Here is a 16913-nt window from a genome sequence, read left to right as displayed (position 1 = left end):
TGGGGCGCCGGGCGCGAGCGGAGATGAGGGAGCGGCCGGAGAAGAGAGGATGCTGTTGAGCGTTAGGTCGCGACCCCTGCTGGAAGGTGCTGTTTCTCCCTCCTTTCTGGGGCTGGGAATGGGGGGATGTGGGCTGCATCCAAGTCGCTGCCCCCCACGCCCTTCCAACCTCCGTCACAGCTATTCTCGGCCAGTTTGCGCGGGGACTTGCTGATCTCCCTTCAGCCGGCCCCGGGGTCTGCGGGAGGGGACTGGGTGGGGAGGGAGACTTAAGGGCGCTGGCGGCTGTCGTTCCGGTCGCTGAGAGTCTGCCCCACAGCTCCAGTTTTTCCAAGTGAGTTCAGCCTCCCCGCTTCCAGAGCATCCCCCGCCAAAAATAAGATATCGTCTCAGCTAGTAGGCAGTCCCCCCTCACCACTTCTTTCACTCCCTCTTCAGTGCCTTTCCTCTCACACCCCGGAGCCTCTCACACACAAAGCAGATGGGAGATTGGAGACCCGAGTTTAGCCAGGGATGGGATTTAACAAACTCCTAGGAAGCCTTGATTCCCAGGGAAGAATGGCAGTGACCCCGCACGGATTGGGGACCCAGTCAGGCAGCTCAGAAAGAGGGTCATTGTACAAACAGATGTAAAGACTCACTAACATGTGTGAACCTGTCTGTAAGTCTGGAAGGAATCCAGTTTCAACCAATTGGTGTATCAAAAAAAGAGGCCATCCCAATGTTGGTTTATGTTTATTTTCCACTGACCCTATGAGTGAAGATATCCTTGACCATGAGTCCATCTGAATATGTTCCAGCTCATCCGACGTTCCACCACCATGTAATACAATTGTAGTCTTACTGTTTGCACTTTCTTCTTTTTACCCTTTGTAGCCTACTAAATTTTACCTTCCCTTTTCTCTTAGCAAATGAAAAAGTCCGGAAGCTATAACGTTCAGTTTAGTGGTTAAACACAGGTCTATTGTGGCAGTAATAGTTGGTGATTTGAAAATAAGACATACCCTGCTAGTGGTATGTCCCAATAATCTTCAAAGTCTCTAGATCAATTAATATCAAGTAGGTTTCCAATAGGAAATCAAGAACGGTGTTTTATATGCTAAGACGAGCCCTGGTCGGGGATTAACAATCCTTGTTAATTGTTAGTGACGTAAGCTTAAAAACTTAAATTTTTGTATCCACGTTCCACCTAAGTGTCTTTTTAAACTGAGTTCCTTTAAAATAGTTTCTTAAAGATTCTTTTTATAAACAGTATCTTTTAAAGTTTTTTGTACTATATTTTTCTTTCATCTTGGGGCATATATGTAGCAAATGTTTCCTAATGAAGACAAAGTATAGATAAAGGACACTGAGAAGATATAAAGAAAATTATCAAATATATTGACCTAATTCATGGATCAAAATAATTCTACTTCTGCCTTGTTTCCTCACAGGTTAAGAGATATGGAGATTTCCACAAGGATTTGGAGAGGAGCCCCAGTAGTTACTAAAATTCTGCATTAGATCTGTCAGGAAAGGTAAAGAAACCAGGACTCTGCTAGGAAAGAGGAGGTTATAATAATGGTTTACTAAAACTTTTCAAATATAGAGACTATCAACTACCTGTTGTGCCTTGCTGGAGAATTAAATAAGAGAAAATAGATTTATGATCCAACCTGAAGAGTTTTAAGTGAGAGCTAAGGAAGAAATGTTCCAATAATTAAACTTTAAGAAGGTTTATTTAAGTGCTTAAGGAAGCAGATCTTTGGAGAGTTTTTTAAATGATGGATTTATATGTGTCCATTTTTTTAAAGAGAAACTAACTATTTTGATAACCTAGTATAGGGCTCCACACTGTTTAAAGCATTTTTACATATATTAACTCAACTAATCCTTATAATGATTCGGTGAGATAGATATTATTATCCCCATTCTATAGATATGGAAGTTGAAGTTCAAAGGTTAAGCAATTTATCCAAAATAATATAGCTGTACTAAGTGACAAAGTCAGGATTTGAATCCAGTTCTGTTTTCACCTTACCTGCCAGCTTCCCCTAACTGAAAGCTGGATGATGACCCGAAGGACCAGTGAGACTGCAGCTTCCGGAACTCATTCACAGCAGTAATAGTTATGTCTAGTATCTTACTCAACTGTTGTTGCTACATCTACCACAGTGCCTGTCTCAGTCCTTTTGGGCTGCCATAAGAAATTACCAAAGACTGAATGACTTGTAAACAATAAATTTATTTCTCAGAGTTCTGGATCCTGGAAGTCTGAGATCTGGGTGCCAGCATGGTTAGGTTCTGGTGAGGGCCCTCTTCTGGTTGCAGACTGCTAACTTCTGGCAGTGTCCTCACATGGAAGAAGGGGCCATTGAGCTCCCTGGGGTCTCTTTTGTGAGGGCACTAATCCCATTCATAAGGGCTTTGCCCTCATGACCTAATCATCTCCTAATATCACCCTGGGAGTTAGGATTTCAACATATGAATTTTAGGGAGACATAAACATTCAGTCCATTGCAGTTTCTAACTTCAAGCAGGGTTCAATGTGTTTAAATTGAGTTGATTTAAACTTGATCCTATCTGAGGAGGTGACATTTAAGCAAAGATACCTATGAAACAGTCAGTTATATGAACACATTGCAGAAGACAGTGACAAGCAGAAGGAACAGCAAGTACAAAGAACCTGAAGTCAGAAATTGCTTTATTGTATGTGAGGAACAGCCAGGAGATCAAATGATTGGAGCTAAGTGGACAAGAAGAAGACTGGTAGGAGGTATATTTGAAGAGGAAGCCAGGGGTCAGATCGTGTAGTGCCACTGCTACGCACTTTAAATAATCCTCAAGAACACATAACCAACAGCTCATAATGCTTCACAAGACAAAGGACGTGTGATTAAACTGTTAGAAATTAAAATTATTTATTGAATGACTATCGCATGCCAGGCACTGGATAGAACCTTAAGCATATCATCTCATCTAATCCTCACGCTAATTCTACAAGACATATATTATCCTAATTTTACCTTGAGAGAAATGGAAAAACAGAAATATTAAGTAACATGCTTCACACAATAGGTGGCAGAGACAAGATATGACCCAGGTTTCTGATTTCAAAGTCTAGATTTTTCCACTATACCACAGTTTCTCATTTGAAAGACTGTAAGGAGAGAGGGGTTCATGCATACATGCATTCATCAAGTAATTATGTTCATTTCTATGTGACAGGCATTATAGAAATAATATTAAAATGTAAGATAGCACTTTTTAAGTTTTTATATGGTTATATTCTTACCAGTTGTTTGTTTTTAAAACTTGCAGATAGATGGACTTCAAGGCAATTGCCCAACAAACTGCCCAAGAAGTTTTAGGTTATAATCGAGATACATCAGGCTGGAAAGTGGTTAAAACTTCAGTAAGAAAATAAGTTAAATTATGTTTCAAGACTTTGTTTTTAAGTAAGAAACAATTCATTGTAAAGACTTTTTTAAAAAAATATTTTCTGTTCCAGGTGCAGTGGTGTGCACCTATAGTCCCAGCTACTCAGGAGGCTAACACAGGAGGACTGCTTGAGCACAGGAGTTTGAGGCTGTCATGCACCATGATTGTGCCTGTGAATAGCCAGTACACTACAGACTGGGCAACATAGTGAGACCCTGTCTCTGAAAAATATATATATATATTTTTTTCTTTTACAAACCAGAAAAAAAAGTGTTTTTACTTTTGTTAGTTTTTCATTTTCATTTTTCCTGCATTTGACAGCTAATTATTTGTGGATTTTTATTCCCCTTTGAGAAAAAGATAACTGTTTCCAGTAAGGCTTCTAGAAAATTCCATGGAAATCTGTGAGTACAATCTTCTATTTACAATTACTGTTTTAAATTCAATGCCATTGATGTATCTGGAATTTCAGTGCTGCTTCATTAGCTATAATAAATTATTTTATAGTAATAAATAGAAATTATTAAGTCACTAGGCAGAAATGTGATAATAATAAAATACAGCAATCAGATACCATCTAATCTTCTATTTTCAAATCTGATGACAATCAGATAAAAAATCTCTTCTAATTACTAATTCACTAAATAGGAAATTTTCACTTCAAGAAATAATTACTATAAAAGCAGATTGGTATTTTCTTGCTAACAGTAATATTTTATGGAATTTTAAACCCTTCATGTGTCCATTAAATGAACCACTAACAAGTAAAGTGTATTTCTTCATTTTATTTTATTTTCTTGAGACAGGGTCTTGCTCTGTCACCAGGCTGGAGTGCAGTGGCACAATCTCAGCTCACTGCAACCTGTGCCTTCTGGGCTCAAGCAGTCCTTCCGCCTCGGCCTCCTGAATAACTGGGACTACAGGTGCACACCACCACACCTGACTAATTTTTATATGTTTTTGTAGAGATGGGGTTGCCCAGGCCAGTCTCAAACTCCTGAGCCCAAGCGATCTGCCTGTCTTGGCTTCCCAAAGTGCTGGGATTACAGGTGTGAGCCACTGTGCCCAGCCTACTTCCTCATTTTAAATATGCATTTTTTTCTGTATGCTTCTTTTAAATATACTTTTAAGGATAAAATTATTTCAAATACAAGTACACTAAGGGAAAGTATATTGACTTTTTTTAGCTTAATCTTTCAGAGTTCATTTATTGCTCATGATAGTACATCAGGGCCATCAGATCATCAAATTTTATTCAATTCCTTTTCTTTTGGAGTCCACTCCTTCTTTCAACTACCTCATTTTATGTTTCTTGCTTTTTTAAAATTTCAATAAAATTTACCTATATTATATTTCAGCCCAATTTTTTACCATTGGACAAAGCTGATATGCTTTCTCCCACTCACTTTAACAATGATCAGGAAAATAATCCCTACCTTATTGAAATAATGGTTCTAATACAGGCACTTTCAAAAATAAACAGGGAGGAGTGGGTATGGTCAAGCCTAGGTACACTAGGGGAATTAACTTTTGGATAATTTGGCTTTTTGGTATCTTACAGATCAGACCAGTGTAGACAGCAACCTTGGCATTTTTTAAAAGCTTGGAAGTTATTTATTTAGTCTACAAGTAATTATTGAGTATTTATTTAGAGAGTGCTATACAAATGCCTAGAGCCAAAGAATAGGTTCTGTTAAGCTGTTCTAAAGCTTTACTGGAAATTTTCATCAGAGATATTTTACTCTTACATGCAAAACTAAACAATTGGTACTTTTTGCACTCACAGTTTGAGTGAAATTTATATGCACTGTATACTAGGTATTTATTGGTGCACAACAAATTATCCCATAACTTAGCTACTTAAACATTTATTATCTTATGGCTTCTCTGGATTAGGAATCCAGGAACAGCTTTGCTAGGTGCCTCTGCCTCAAGGAATCCACAAGGCTGTAATCAAGGTGTCAACAGGGCTTAGGTCTCATCTGAAGACTCAACTGAAGGAGGCTATGCTCCAAACTCACTCACATTGTTGTTGGCAAGATTCTCAAGTAGCTGGGACCACAGGCTAGTTCTTTGAAAAGAAAAAAATGGCAGACCATTAGTAAGATTAACCAAGAAAAGGAGAGAAGATCCAAATAAACTCAATTAGCAATGAAATGGGAGATATTACAGCCAATACCACAGAAATACAAAAAGATCATTCAGGGCTACTGTGAACACGTTTACATGCACAAGCTAGAAAATCTAGAGGAGATCGATAAATTCTGGGAAAAAATACAACCCTCCTAGATTAAATCAGGAAGAAATAGAAAATCTGAAAAAAAAAAACAAAAACAAGTAGCAAGATTGAAACAATAATTTTTTAAATTGCCAACAAAAAAGTCCAGAACGAGATGGATTCACAGCTGAATTTTATCAGACATTCAAAGAAAATTGGTATGATCTTACTGAAACTATTCCAAAAGATAGAGAAAGAAGGAATCCTCCATTCTATGAGGCCAGTATCACCCTAATAACAAAACCAGTAAAGGACATTAAAAAAAAAAAAAAAAAAAAAACGGACCAATATCCCTGATTAACACAAATGCAAAAATCCTCAACAAAATACTAGCTAACCTAATCCAACAGTATATCAAAAAGATAATATATACCATGATCAAATGCATTTCATACCCAGGATGTGGGGATGGTTTAACATACCCAAGTCAATAAATGTGATAGATCACATAACCAAAATTAAAAACAAAAATTTTGATCATCTCAATAGATGCAGAAAAAGCACTGGACAAAATCCAGCATCTCTTTTTGACTAAAACCCTCAACAAAATAGGCATAGAAGGAACTTACCTCAAAGAAGTAAAAGCCATCTATAACAAACCCACAGCCAACATTATGCTGAACAGGGAAAAGTTGAAAGCATTCCTCCTAAAAACTGGAACGGGAAAAGGATGCCCATTTTCACCACTTCTATTCAACATAGTACTGGAAGTCCTAGCCAGAGCAATCATGCAGATGGGTAAAGAGGAAGACAGACTGTCACTGTTGATCAGTGATATGATTGTATACCTATAAAACCCTAATGACTCATCCAAAAAGTTCCTAGATCTGATAAGTGAATAAAGTTTCAGGATAAAGTCAGTGTACACAAATCAGTAGCACTGCTATGCAGCAACAGTGACCAAGCTGAGAATGAAATAAAGAATTCAACCCCTTTTTCAACCACTGCAAAAAAAGAAATACTTAAGAATATATCTAAGCAAGATGGTGAGAGATCTCTACAAGGGAAACTGCAAAACACTGCTGAAAGAAATCACTGACACAAACAAATGGAAACACATCCCATGCTCATGGATGAGTAGAATCAGTATTGTGAAAATGACCCTACTGCCAAAACAATCTACAGATTCAATGCAATTCCCATCAAACTCCCATCATCCTTCTTCACAGAACTAGAAAAAACAATCCTAAAATTCGTATGGAACCAAAAAACAGTCCACATAGCCAAAGCAAAACTAAGCAAAAAGAATAAATCTGGAGGCACCACATTACCCAACTTCAAACTATTCTACAAGGCTCTAGTTACCAAACACCATGGGACTAGTATAAAAACAGGCACGTAGATCAATGGAACAGAATAGAGAACCCAGAAATAAAGCCAAATACCCACAGCCAACTGATCCACAACAAAGTAAACAAAAACATAAAGTGGGGAAAGGACACCCTATTCAACAAATGGTGCTGGGATAATTGGCAAGCTACATGTAGAAGAATGAAACTGGATCTTCATCTCTTACCTTTTACAAAAATGTACTCAAGATGGATCAAAGACTTAAATCTAAGACCTGAAACCATAAAAACTCTAGAAAATAACATTGGGAAAACTCTTCTAGACATTGGCTTAGGCAAAGAGTTCATGACGAAGAACTCAAAAGCAAATGCAACAAAACCAAAAATAAATAGTTGGGACCTAATTAAACTAAAAGCCTTCTGCATCGTAAAAGAAATAATCGGCAGAGGAAACAGGTAACCCACAGAATGGGAGAAAATATTCACAAACTATGCATGCAGCAAAGGACTAATACCCAGAATCTATAAGAACTCAAGCAAATCAGTAAGAAAAAAACAAATAATCCCATCAAAAAGTAGGCAAAGGACATGCGTAGACAATTCTCAAAAGAAGATATACAAATGGCCAACAAACATGAAAAAATGCTCAACATCACTAATTATCAAGGGAGTGAAAATTAAAACCAGAGTGAGATACCATCTTACCCCTGCAAGAATGGCCATAATTTAAAAATCAAAAAATAATACATTTTGGCATGGATGTGGTGAAAAGGGAACACTTTTACACTGTTGGTGGGAAGGTAAATCAGTACAACCACTATGGAAAACAGCATGGAGATTCCTTAAAGAACTAAGAGTAGAACTGCAATTTGATCCAGCAACCCCACTACTGGGTATGTATCCAGAGGAAAAGAAGTCATTATATGAAAAAGACACATGCACACACATGCTTATAGGAGCACAATTTGCAATTGCAATTATATGGAACCAATGAGTGGATAAAGAAAATGTGGTATATATAAACTATGGAACACTACTCAGTTATAAAAAGCAACAAAATAATAGCATTCACAGCAACCTGAATGGAGTTGGAGACCATTATTCTAAGTGAAGTAACTCAGGAATGGAAAACCAAACATCATCTTTTCTCACCTATAAATGAAAGCTAAGCTATGAGAACACAAAGGCATAAGAATGATATAATGGACTTTGTGGACTCCAGGGAAAGGGTGGGAGGAGGAGGATGGATAAAAGACTACACATTGGGTACAGTGTACACTGCTCAGGTGATGGGTGCACCAAAATCTCAAGAAATTACCACCACAGAATTTATCCATGTAGCCAAAAACCACCTGTTTCCCCAAAACCTATTGAAATAAGTCCAAACATTTTATCGTGATGTGCAGGTAACTATCTGGGCCCCACTTACCTCTCTGACCTCATTTCTGACCACTTCTCTTCATTGTCCCTGTGTCACAGCCACAATGGACTTCTGTTGTTTGAATGCACTGAACTTAAACCCATCTCAGAGCCTTCTTAGTTGCTCTCCTCTTGCCTGGCAAGCTATTCCCCCAAATGTTTCCAAGGCTAATGTCATTTTTATGTTCAAGATGTCAGTTTCATTATCTCCTCTTCAGAATGACCTTCCTAGCCACGTGGCCAAAGTTCCCAAATACACACACTAAACCTCTATTTACTACATTGTTCTGCTATTATCTTCTTCATAGCACTTCACTATATGAAATTTATCTTCTTTGTTTTCTTACGTATTATATGTCTCTCATATTAGAATATAAACTTGATGAGGATACTAACTTTAATAGGCACCAGACTAGAAATAAATCACTGCATTCATTGCAGTATCCCTAGCACAAGAACAGTGTCTCTCACCAAGACACTTAATAAATATTGAATGAATTTATGGACTTCAGTTATATTATATTGGCTACCAAATGGGAAGTTATATATCTTATAACTGCAGTACAAAAAAATAAACTCAAGATAATTTTTCAACACTTATGCCTTTTCTTAATAATTTGCTACTCAAAAAGGGCCTTTTGTGGTTAGCTTTAAGCATTTGCCTGGAAGAGAAGCAGTTCTTTGGTTGGAATTTCGTTCCTTTCTGCTCTTAAGGGATGAAATACAGACCTACCAGCACATAGGTCTACACATTTCTCTCAGTGTTAGAAGCAGTGAACAGTAATGTCCTACTATATGTCAGGCACCATGCTAAATACTTTTCTTTCATTTTCTAAATATATTTCTCATATTTCCCACAATGTAAGCACTGTTATTATCCCCATTTTACAAATGAATAAGGGCCTATGTAAGTTACTATCTCCAAGTCACCTAACTAGTGTTAGTGAGACAAAAACTTAGACACCAAGACTTTACCTCAAAGGCTGTACTTTCTTAATCATTATTCTCTCTGACCTCATCAAAACTGTCAAGATGTATCTGTGGAATAATGAAGGCAGATTATCCAGAGATGGATTCTGGCAGAATGTACCTTTTCTGCCTTTAGGCATTTCATGCTTGTTTAGGATACTACTTTCTCCTCCATTGTCGTTACTACTTATTACCACCATCATTACCACCACTACATTTAATCCTCTATTCTACCTTCTGAGGCAGACATGTGAGACAGTTTGTAAGTTTTATAAATTAAAGCATTCAGGTTTAAACAGGTTGTATTAGTTCATTTTCACGCTGCTGATAAAGACATACCTGAGACTGGGCAGTTTACAAAAGAAAGAGGTTTAATGGACTCAGTTCCATGTAGCTGGGGAGGTCTCACAATCATAGCAGAAGATGAAAGTCATTCTTACATGGCAGCAGACAAGAGAGAATTGAGAGACAAGTGAAAAGGGAAACCCCTTATAAAAAACATCAGATCTCATGAGACTTATTCACTACCACGAGAACAATATGGGGGAAACCGCCTCCATGATTCAATTATCTTCCACCAGGTCTCTCCTACAACACCTGGGAATTATGAGAGCTACAATTCAAGATGAGATTTGGGTGGGGATACAGAACCAACCCATATCACAGGTTAAACATTTTTTAAAGTAACAAATGTAATTAATAAAGTTGCTGTGACCAAAATAAAGAGTTCTAACAGCTCAGGATTCATCCTGGTTCTACATAATGTGTAGATATATTTGGAGGAACAATGAAAAACACCCCAGTTTAGTATCTTCATAAACCTGGTTCAATATCTTCCTAAACTTAACATTTTTCTTAACTACAAAAATAATTCAGATATTATTAATATAATAATTTGGAAAGCGTTGTTCAAACTCTGCTGCCATTCCATTTTATGAAAAACTTAAGGAATGAAAAGTTATGTTATTCAGTGATGAATATTGTAGTACTATTTTTAAAATAGAATTTGGGGTTTATATTAGGTCATTTCACACAATTCTCTTTCACAAATAAAAAATTGGTAACATCAGTATCCATCAATAACTCCACAACCATTAACATCAGCTGGTTTATAGTTAATGCTGGGTGTGGGCAGAGCAGGAAATTAGGAAATATATTTATAATGAGTAAATACAAGTTGAGAATAAAAGATATGATAACAAAATAATTGCTAAAGACTAGTTTATAAAATACGTTATTGAATCATCTTATTTTGGTTTGCAGTTTAGAGCAAGTTACTTAGATAAAATATAGGTTCTCTACCTACTCAAGAGACATTAAGAATTTTTGTTGTAATTGTTTTTATGCAATAGATTAGATGAGAAATAAATTTAATGTCATTCTCTAATTCAGAAAAAAAGGACTTGTGGAACTAATTCATTTTTAACAATTTTATTGAGATAATTTATGTACCCTAAATTTCACCTACTTTAAGTGTACAACTCAGTGATTGTTAGTATATATACAGAGTTGTACCAGGATCACCATAATTTCATTTAGAACATTCTCCTCCCCAAAAAAGAAACTTGTGCCTACTAGCATTTACTTCCCATTATCCGATTCACCCCAGCCCCAGGCGACTAGGTGACAGTTTCTGCCTTTTATATTTGCCTATTCTGGACATGTCATAAAGGAGATCACATGCTATGTGGTCTTTTGTGACTTGCTTCTTTCACAAATTCTTTTATCATGTTTTTGAGGTTTACCCATGTTGTAGCTTGTGTCAGTACCTCATTTCTTTTTATTGAAGAATAATGTTCTATGGTACGGATATGCCACATTTTATCTATTCGTCAGTTAATATATACTTAGTTTCTATCTTTTAGGTATTATAAATAATGCTGTTATGAAATTTGTGTACAAATTTTTGTGTGGACATATATTTTTATTTCTCTTGGCTATAGATCTAGGACTGGAATTGCTGGATCATATGGCAATTCTATGTTTAATATTTTGAAGAACTACTAGATCATTTTAGAGACTGGCCGCACCGTTTTATATTCCTAACAGCAGTGTATGTAGGTTCCAATTTCTCCACCTCTTCAGCAACATTTTTCATATCTGTCTTCTTGATTATAGCTATCCTAGTTGGGTATGTAGTGGTATCTCATTGTGGATTTGATTTACATGTCCTTAATGACTTGTGACCATAAGCTTCTTCTTACGTGCATATTGACCATTCATATATCTTCTTTAGATAAATATTTATCCAAACTCTTTTTTAAAAAATTGAATTTCTTTTTATCGTTGAGTTGGAAGAGTTATTTATACACTGTGGATACTAGTTTAGTATCACATATATGATTTGCGACTATTTTCTCCCATTCTGTAGGTTGTCTTCTCACTCTCTTGATGGTATCCTTTGAAGCACAATTTTTAAAAATTTTCTTGAAGTTCAATTTATCCGTCTTCTGTTGTGTTACTTGTGTTGCTGGTGCTGAATCCAAGAAATAATTGGCTGACCCAAGGTCACAAAGATTTATCCCTAAGAATTTATGGTTTTATTTCTTACATGTAGGTCTGTTGTGATCACTTTGAGTTAATTTTCTGTATGGTGTGAGGCAGGAGTCCAATTCAATCTTTGCATGTAAATATCCAATTGTCCCAGCACTATTTGTTGGAGATTCTTCTTTCCCCATTACATTGTCTGGGCTCCTTTGTCAAAAATCAATTGACCATATACATTAGGAGTTTCCTTTGGATGCTTAATTATATTCAGTTGATCTCTCTGTCTGTCCTTATGCCAATACCACACAACCTTCACTACTATAGCCTTTTAGTAAGTTTTGAAATTAAGAAGTGTGAGTCTTACAACTTTTCTGTTTTTCAAGACTATCTTGGCTATACTGGTTCCCTTGCATTTCCATATGAATTTTAGACACTCCAGCCTCAGCAACAGAGCAAGACCCCATCTCAAAAAAAAGTCAGCTGGGATTTTGACAAAGATGCTTTGATTCTGTAGTTCAATTTGGAGAATTATTGCCATTTTAAAAATATTAAGTCTTCCAGTACATGAACATAGGATGTCTCTCTGTTTATTTTGAGCTTCTCAAACTTCTTTCAGAATGTTTTATAAGTTTCAGTATATGTCTTAAACGTGTTCTATTTTTTTTTATTTTACTCTAACACCATTCAATGACTTTTGTTAAATTTATTTCAAAGCTTTATTCTTTTTGATGTTATTGTAAATGGAATTGTTTTCTGAATTACTTTTAAAAAATTTTAATCCTAGCATATAGAAATACAATTGATTTTTATATATTGATCTTGTATCCTGAAGCTTTACTGGACTTCTTAGTTGTATTATTTTAGTGGATTCTGTTGTTTTTTTCTATATATAAAATCATGTCATGAAGAGTTTTACTTCTTCCTTTTCAATCTGGATGACTTTTATTTCTTTTTCTAACCTAACTGCCTGGGCTAGTACCTCCAATACAATGTTTAATAGCAGTGACAAGAGTGGACATCCTTGTCTTATTCCTGATCTTAATAGAAAAGTATTTAGTTTTTCCACCATTAAGTTTGATGTTAGCAGTGGATTTTTCATAGGTGCCCTTTATCAAGTTGAGGGCATTTCCCTATACCCCTCATTCTATGAATGCTTTATCCTGAATGGGTGTTGGATTTTGTCGTATGCTTTTTCCACATCTATTGAAATGATGTGGTTTTGTTGTTTAGTCTATTAAAATTGTGTATTGTAGTAATTGATAATTCATATGGTAAACCAACCTTGCATTCTGGGATAAATCCCACTTGGTCATGCTTTATAATCCTTTTTATACATTGCTAGATTTGGTAGGCTGGTACTTTCTTGAAGGTTTTTGCATATACATAAGAGATACTGGGGTGTAGTTTTATTTTCTTTTTTTTTTTTTTTTTTAATTTATTTTTTTATTGATAATTCTTGGGTGTTTCTCACAGAGGGGGATTTGGCAGGGTCATGGGACAATAGTGGAGGGAAGGTCAGCAGATAAACAAGTGAACAAAGGTCTCTGGTTTTCCTAGGCAGAGGACCCTGCGGCCTTCCGCAGTGTTTGTGTCCCTGATTACTTGAGATTAGGGATTGGTGATGACTCTTAACGAGCATGCTGCCTTCAAGCATCTGTTTAACAAAGCACATCTTGCACCGCCCTTAATCCATTTAACCCTGAGTGGACACAGCACATGTTTCAGAGAGCACAGGGTTGGGGGTAAGGTCACAGATCAACAGGATCCCAAGGCAGAGGAATTTTTCTTAGTGCAGAACAAAATGAAAAGTCTCCCATGTCTACTTCTTTCTACACAGACACGGCAACCATCCGATTTCTCAATCTTTTCCCCACCTTTCCCGCCTTTCTATTCCACAAAGCCGCCATTGTCATCCTGGCCCGTTCTCAATGAGCTGTTGGGCACACCTCCCAGACGGGGTGGTGGCCGGGCAGAGGGGCTCCTCACTTCCCAGTAGGGGCGGCCGGGCAGAGGCGCCCCTCACCTCCCGGACGGGGCAGCTGGCCGGGCAGGGGGGCTGACCCCCCCCACCTCCCTCGCGGACGGGGCGGCTGGCCGGGCGGGGGGCTGACCCCCCCACCTCCCTCGCGGACGGGGCAGCTGGCCGGGCAGAGGGGCTCCTCACTTCCCAGTAGGGGCGGCCGGGCAGAGGCGCCCCTCACCTCCCGGACGGGGCGGCTGGCCGGGCAGGGGGGCTGACCCCCCCCACCTCCCTCCCGGACGGGGCGGCTGGCCGGGCGGGGGGCCGACACCCCCACCTCCCTCCCGGACGGGGCGGCTGGCCGGGCGGGGGGCCGACCCCCCCACCTCCCTCCCGGACGGGGCGGCTGGCCGGGCAGAGGGGCTCCTCACTTCCCAGTAGGGGCAGCCGGGCAGAGGCGCCCCTCACCTCCCAGACGGGGCGGCTGGCCGGGCGGAGGGCTGACCCCCCCACCTCCCTCCCGGACGGGGCGGCTGGCCGGGCAGAGGGGCTCCTCACTTCCCAGTAGGGGCGGCCGGGCAGAGGCGCCCCTCACCTCCCAGACCGGGCGGCTGGCCGGGCAGGGGGCTGACCCCCCCACCTCCCTCCCGGATGGCACGGCTGGCCGGGCGGGGGGCTGACCCCCCACCTCCCTCCCGGACGGGGTGGCTGCCGGGCGGAGATGCTCCTCACTTCCCAGATGGGGTGGCTGCTGGGCGGAGAGGCTCCTCACTTCTCAGACGGGGCAGCTGCCGGGCGGAGGGGCTCCTCACTTCTCAGACGGGGTGGTTGCCAGGCAGAGGGTCTCCTCACTTCTCAGACGGGGCGGCCGGGCAGAGACGCTCCTCACCTCCCAGACGGGGTCTCGGCCGGGCAGAGGCGCTCCTCACATCCCAGATGGGGCGGTGGGGCAGAGGCGCTCCCCACATCTCAGACGATGGGCGGCCGGGCAGAGACGCTCCTCACTTCCTAGATGTGATGGCGGCTGGGAAGAGGCGCTCCTCACTTCCTAGATGGGATGGCGGCCGGGCGGAGACGCTCCTCACTTCCCAGACTGGGCGGCCGGGCAGAGGGGCTCCTCACATCCCAGACGATGGGCGGCCAGGCAGAGACACTCCTCACTTCCCAGACGGGGTGGCGGCCGGGCAGAGGCTGCAATCTCGGCACTTTGGGAGGCCAAGGCAGGCGGCTGGGAGGTGGAGGTTGTAGTGAGCCGAGATCACGCCACTGCACTCCAGCCTGGGCACCATTGAGCACTGAGTGAACGAGACTCCGTCTGCAATCCCGGCACCTCGGGAGGCCGAGGTTGGCGGATCACTCGCGGTTAGGGGCTGGAGACCGGTCCGGCCAACACAGCGAAACCCCGTCTCCACCAAAACCAGTCAGGCGTGGCGGCGCGTGCCTGCAATCGCAGGCACTCGGCAGGCTGAGGCAGGAGAATCAGGCAGGGAGGTTGCAGTGAGCCGAGATGGCAGCAGTACAGTCCAGCTTCGGCTCCGCATGAGAGGGAGACCGTGGGGAGAGGGAGACGGAGACGGAGACGGAGAGGGAGGGAGAGGGAGAGGGAGAGGGAGAGGGAGAGGGAGAGGGAGACGGAGAGCATTTTCTTATGATATCTTTATCTGGTTTTGATATCAAGCTAAAATTTGGGAAATGTTTCCTCCTCTTTTATTTTCTGGAATAGTTTGTGGAGGATTTATGTAAAAATTTTTCTTTAAACTTTTGGTCAGATTCACCGGTGAAGCCATCTGAGCATGGGCTCTTTTTGTGGGGATTATTTGGATTACTAATTCAATCTCTGTCTTGTTATAGATAATTAAGATGTGCTATTGCTTCTTAAATCAGTTTCAGTAATTTGTGCTTTTCTAGGACGTTGTCCATTTCATCTAAGCTATCTACTTTGTTGACACATCATTCTTCTCTTACAACCCTTTTTATTTGTATAGGGTCAGTCTTGATTTTAGTTGAGTCTATTCTCTTTTTTTGCGTACATCTAGCTAAACATTTATCAATTCTGTTGATCTTTTCAAAGATACAACTTGTGGTTTTATTAATTTTCTTATTTTTCTATTCACAATTTCATTACTTTCTACTGTAATCCTTATTATTTCCTGCCTTCTGCTAGCTTTGGGTTTAGTTTGCTCTTCATTTTCTAGTTTCCTAAAATTAAAGGCTAGGTTATTGATTTCAGAACTTCTTTTTTTAAAAAATATAGACATTTACAACTATAAATTTTCCTCTAAGCACTGCTTTTGCAGCATCCCATAAGTTTTGGCATGTTGGGTTTTCATTTTGATTTATCTCAAATTATTCTCTAATTTTTCTTTGACTTAATTTTTCTTCTTTGACTTACTGGTTATTTAAGAATGTTTTAATTTCTACATATTTGGGAATTTCCCAAATTTCTGTTGTTAAAATTTAATTCCATTGTGATGACAAAAATACTTTGTAAAATTTGAATCCTTGAATTTGAGACTTGTTTTATTGCCTGAACGATGGTCTCTCTTGTAGAATGTACCAGATGCACTTGAGAAGAATGTCTATTCTGCTATTTTTAGGAGTGTTCCATAGGTGTCTCTTAGATCTAGTGTTGTTCAAGTCTTCAATATTCTTGCTGATTTTCTTCTGATTGTTTCATTCATTATTGAAAATGACGTGGGCCGGGCACGGTGGCTCACGCCTGTAATCCCAGCACTTTGGGAGGCTGAGGTGGGCGGATCATGAGGTCGGGAGATCGAGACCATCCTGGCTAACACGGTGAAACCCCGTCTCTACTAAAAATACAAAAAATTAGCCGGGCGCAGTGGCGGGCGCCTCTAGTCCCAGCTACTTGGCAGGCTGAGGCAGGAGAATGGCGTGAACCCTGGAGGCGGAGGTTGCAGTGAGCCGAGATCGCGCCATTGCATGCCCTCCAGCCTGGGCAACAGAGCAAGACTCTGTCTCAAAAAGAAAAAAGAAAATGACCTATTGAGGTATCTAATTATTATTGTGAAATTATCTATTTCTCCCTCGAGATATGTCCATTTTCCCTTTATGTATTTGGGGCTCTATC

The 16913-nt window shown here is 40.1% G+C and overlaps 1 protein-coding gene across 6 annotated transcripts in view; it reads left to right on the top strand.

Annotated features, from left to right (window-relative positions):
• Window positions 1-19: 19 nt before the first annotated feature.
• The window catches only part of STARD6 (StAR related lipid transfer domain containing 6), a 33367-nt gene continuing 16473 nt past the window's right edge, over window positions 20-16913 (top strand). The window contains exons 1-5 of one of the 6 annotated variants that reach the window (NM_001394379.1): window positions 20-334; window positions 1434-1517; window positions 2028-2107; window positions 3301-3394; window positions 3742-3824. In NM_001394379.1, the coding sequence (NP_001381308.1) occupies window positions 3305-3394; window positions 3742-3824 (173 nt within the window). In that variant the 5' untranslated portion in view covers window positions 20-334; window positions 1434-1517; window positions 2028-2107; window positions 3301-3304. Of the gene's footprint in view, window positions 335-1433; window positions 1518-2027; window positions 2108-3300; window positions 3395-3490; window positions 3825-16913 lie in introns of all 6 variants that reach the window. The other 5 variants (NR_138549.2, NM_139171.2, XM_047437300.1 and 2 more) reach the window with 5 other exon arrangements.

This window comes from Homo sapiens, chromosome 18 (assembly GCF_000001405.40).
Source record: "Homo sapiens chromosome 18, GRCh38.p14 Primary Assembly".
Taxonomy (NCBI): Eukaryota; Metazoa; Chordata; class Mammalia; order Primates; family Hominidae; genus Homo; species Homo sapiens.
This window is presented reverse-complemented; position numbering and strand designations above follow the sequence as displayed.